The sequence below is a fragment of the Homo sapiens genome, chromosome 12 (genome assembly GCF_000001405.40).
Source record: "Homo sapiens chromosome 12, GRCh38.p14 Primary Assembly".
Classification (NCBI taxonomy): Eukaryota; Metazoa; Chordata; class Mammalia; order Primates; family Hominidae; genus Homo; species Homo sapiens.
Window position 1 is genome coordinate 60,574,806 of NC_000012.12, and position 4,367 is coordinate 60,579,172.

Below are 4,367 nucleotides of genomic sequence, written 5' to 3' on the forward strand. Positions count from 1 at the left end.
GGATTAGGTCGTTTCAGCAAAATATGTAACATAAATTGCTCTTACCCTTCTGTCACTCGGGAATAAATGTTTTCTTTCTACATGAGAATAAAGTAGCAACTTTTGCAGAGCTTTAAGGTGTTAACAACAGATACAGGCAATCACTTTAATGTACTAATAGATTCCATCAAGGAAGAGTGTGTCTCAAGCTGGGAAGCTACTGCCCAAAGTTGCTGTATCCTTTAAAAATATAATAATTTTAGAAATAGAATGATTATTATATTATAATGAAACTTACTTGGTTTAGTTATGGACAATGTAAATTTTAAATCAGTGTACTTTAAAATACATTTTTTAGTATTAATGAATTCTGTTTAAATGGACTCTAGAAAAACTGAAAATGAGAGCAATCATTACAAAGGTTTTATTTTGTTTTTGATTGTTGCTGCAGGAAATATGGCATTTTATAAAATAAGATTTCCCAGTATTGTTCAGGACAATGTTTTTTAAAAAATACACTTTACTGTTGATGTCAGCACCAACACTTTGGATTATAATTTACTATTATTAATACATCTTCATGAGTTTTTTTAAGTGTACATTTATGTTCAGCTTCTAATACATAGCGTATAAAGATTTGAAAATTTAACAGTAGGTGGTTCTTAAACTAATAATCCATCATTCTAGACTGAAATGTCTTTTTCTTTTTTTTTAATCTTCTTACTTTTTCTTACTATAAGCAATACATTTCCTATAGCAGAGATTTTGTTGTCTTTTACCCATTCACTGAGTTTGAAGGGATTCTTCTAGTTTATCCCTGCAAATGATGCAGTTTATCCTTTTCAATTCAATTCAAGAAAGTGTGTGTCTCTTTGGAAGCTCTGGATATTGAATACTTTCAATCTAAAAATAATTTCGCCTTACCTTTACAGAACTTTAAAGCTTATTTAGATAGGTTGTTATAAAACAGACATGAAGAGCCCCGAAAATGATTTCACATCGTCTTCACTTTTAGGTAGGGTTTGAATCAGGACACTATATTTGACCTAAAACAGGGGTGTCCAATCTTTCGACTTCCCAGGGTCACATTGGAAGAATTGTCTTGGGCCACACATAAAATACACTAACACTAATGATAACTAACTAATGAGCTGGGAAAAGTCACAAAAAAATTGCATAATGTTTTAAGAAAGTTTAAGAATTTCTGCTGGGCTGTATTCAAAGCTGCCCTGGGCTGCGTGAGCCCCATGGACCATAAGTTGGACAAGCTTGATGTAGAGGGTCTTTTAGGTACTGCAGAGCAGTCTCAGTCCCAACTACTCAACTCTGTCATTGCACTATGAAAGTTGTCATAGAAAAAACATGTAAAGGATGAATGTGACTATACAAACAAACCTTGATTTATGGACACTGAAACTTGAAATGCATATTTTCATGTGCCACAAAATATTATTCTTTAAAGTTTTTTTCAACCATTCAAATATTAAAGCATTCTTAGTTTGTAGGATGTACAAAAACAGGCTGTAGGCAGGATTTGGTCCAAAGGCCACAGTTTGCTAATTAAGGAATTACTTTATTAAGTTGACATTACTATTTCACTGTTTATTAGCATAACATTTCTGTTCCAGGGGACACTCACTCAGGAATAGAAAAGTGGAAAATAATTTTATTTTCATTCCTGAAGCTTCTGGAATGAACTAGAGCTTATCAACTCTTTAATAAACATGTCAGCTCTTCTGATGGTTGCTACCTTCAAATTCTAATAGTCTTTTCACTCCTAGCCACAAATTCCTCTTTGGTGCTATGAGGGTTTTTTAAAAAGTCCATGTTTTCAAAAGGAAAAGTGACCTTTTGTCCTCTCCCTTTTTTTTTTAAAGAGTTCCTTAAGAAAATGTATAATTCTAAATCATTTATTTATCTCTTTTATATATGTACATGTTTTTAAAGGCTAAATAAGGTCTTGCCAACATTACAACTCAGTAATGTTTTCCTTAAGGGTCTGGGAGCCATGTTCTTTGAAATGTAAACATCAAGGAAGATAGGACCCATTTCTGTCACCATGACGAGTTTAGCTTACAGTTCTTGCTTCAAGCTTTTCATAAAAATAAAAATTTTGTTTTCCTTTAAATGAAGGAAATTATCTAACACAAATGGCGATCCTGTTTATCAGGTAAAGTTAGGGTGAACTATGAAAGAATATGTGGCAAATGGTGCTATATCTTGAAAACATGTATGCAGTGAATTATATCTGTGTGGTTACATAAATGGTTGAGATTTCATTTTCCTTTGCAACCTCATTAGCATGTTGCCTGTGATGTACATCACAGCATGGCTTAATGTTGATTCTCTAATTAATATTGCTTTCTTTCTTTTCTTCATTTGTGGAGAGAATTATCTGAGTTAGCCAAAAATGTTTTATTTTTATATTTTCCCCAAGATTGTATCCACCAATCCTAGATGATCATATTATGATTCTTACCTGATCATAATCCAACAACTCCTCAGTTCCCATTAAAAGACCATTATTAAATCATATCTCAAGTTCTCAGTAACTGTCACTGGTCTTGTCATTCCTCCTCAGAGATACTGTCATATCAGACTGTCTTGATAGCATTCTCCATTATCAGGGCAAGCAAAAAATTCAGATTCATGTAATCAATAGGTAGCTATAGGGATATTTATGGAGCTTCATTTTGACCTTAATTCTCTTTTTTTAACAGTTTTATTGAGATATAACATAGTACAAAATTTACTATTTAAATTTTACAATTTAATTTATTTTTGGTATATTCATAGACTTTTATATGCCCCCACCATATGTTGTGATTCACTCAGGATGGTGGCAGAAATATTTAAGGGAAATATTAGGGAAAGTTATAGGGAATAGTCACAAACCTTTTGGAAGACCGAAAGGTTACATAGCTTGTAATAACTGAACAGGCTGAAGGCAGCCAACTCTTATCTTAATGCATTAGGTCATAGGGTAAATACTAGGGACAAGATAGGCTTCCATAGTAAGTCTGTTTATCCTGCCTCCATTAATTAACCTTTGAGCTGGGTGGCCCTCTCCCGGGGAGGTCAACCAGGGAAATTACCCTCTAATGGTATTCACTTTAGACCTCGTACCTGAGCTTTAATCATTGGTAGAACTACTCTCTTAACCACGTTAATTATCCCCACACACACTGTCACTAGACAGTGTGTTTACTCAAAGCTCCTGTTGTTAATTGTTTACTAAATAAATGCCTGGAGTGCGAGCTATTCAGGGCTGGCCGCAGTGACAAACCTCTCTTGGTGTGCAGGCGGTCGGACACTCAGCTGGACTGGCAAAAGAGAATATCTGTATGTCAATGTACGTTTTATTCATCCGTCGTTTGGGTCAGGGTCTGCGTGCAGACCCCTGCAGCTAATGCCCACTTGTGAGGAGGGCTACCTCAACCATATAAGTTTAAGTTTTCATCACATTAACAAGAAATTCTACTTCCATTAGCAGTGACTGTCTATTAATTTCTCCAAACCTAGCAACGCGTAGGCAACCATGAATCTACTTTTAGAATCCATAGATTTTTATTCTGAACATTTCACATTAATGTATTAATGCAATATGTAGCTTTTGGTGACTGTCTTCCTTCAATTAGCATACATTTTTATAATTCATCTCTCATAATGTGAATCAGTATTTTATTCTTTTTATTGCAGAATAATATTCCATTGAATAGATATGCTATATTTTGTTCATTTATTCATCAGTAGATGGACATTTGCATTATTCTACTTTTGGACTATGATCAATAATCCTTATATAAATATTCAAATATGAGTTATGGTGTTAATATGTTTAAAAATAACATGAGTAAAACCTAGGAGTGTAATTACTAGGTCATACACTAACCATACATGTAACTTTTTGGTGAACTGTGAAACAGCTTTCCATAGCAACTACACTCCAACTATGTATTAAAAAACAGAGATATTATTTAAATTTATTGATAATTTGTGCAATCAAGGAAATACTTATATTTTAAGGAAATAAAATAAGAACAACAGAAATTACCAGTCAAAATACTTAAAAGGAGGCCTAGCAATCAAATCAGATTTGTTGGTTTAATCTTAATCTTTAAAACTGTCTAGATTATTTGTTGGTTTAACATAAAATAATTTGTATTGATTTCTATCGCCCTTAATATTTTTAAATGGAAAACTCTAAATAGTAGCCTATGAGCTATTTTGTGGTATCAAAATTTTACTTTTAATAAAATATCTCTTCGTGTTATTTTCAAGTCAAAAGTCCATTAGAATCATCCAAAATCGACGGGTTCAATACTTTTAGTTGTATCCATTTTCTCAGTTTTTTCTCCTGTACGTCATATTATCAGATTTACCCTCAA

At 33.1% G+C, this 4,367-nt stretch overlaps 1 annotated feature.

Annotated features, from left to right (window-relative positions):
• Positions 2,863 to 3,157: an enhancer, noted in NCBI's record as "tiled region #3321; HepG2 Activating DNase matched - State 9:DNaseU". NCBI's record gives its function as "activates a minimal TATA promoter and a strong SV40 promoter by Sharpr-MPRA in HepG2 cells {active_cell/tissue: HepG2}" and the evidence as "EXISTENCE:reporter gene assay evidence [ECO:0000049][PMID:27701403]".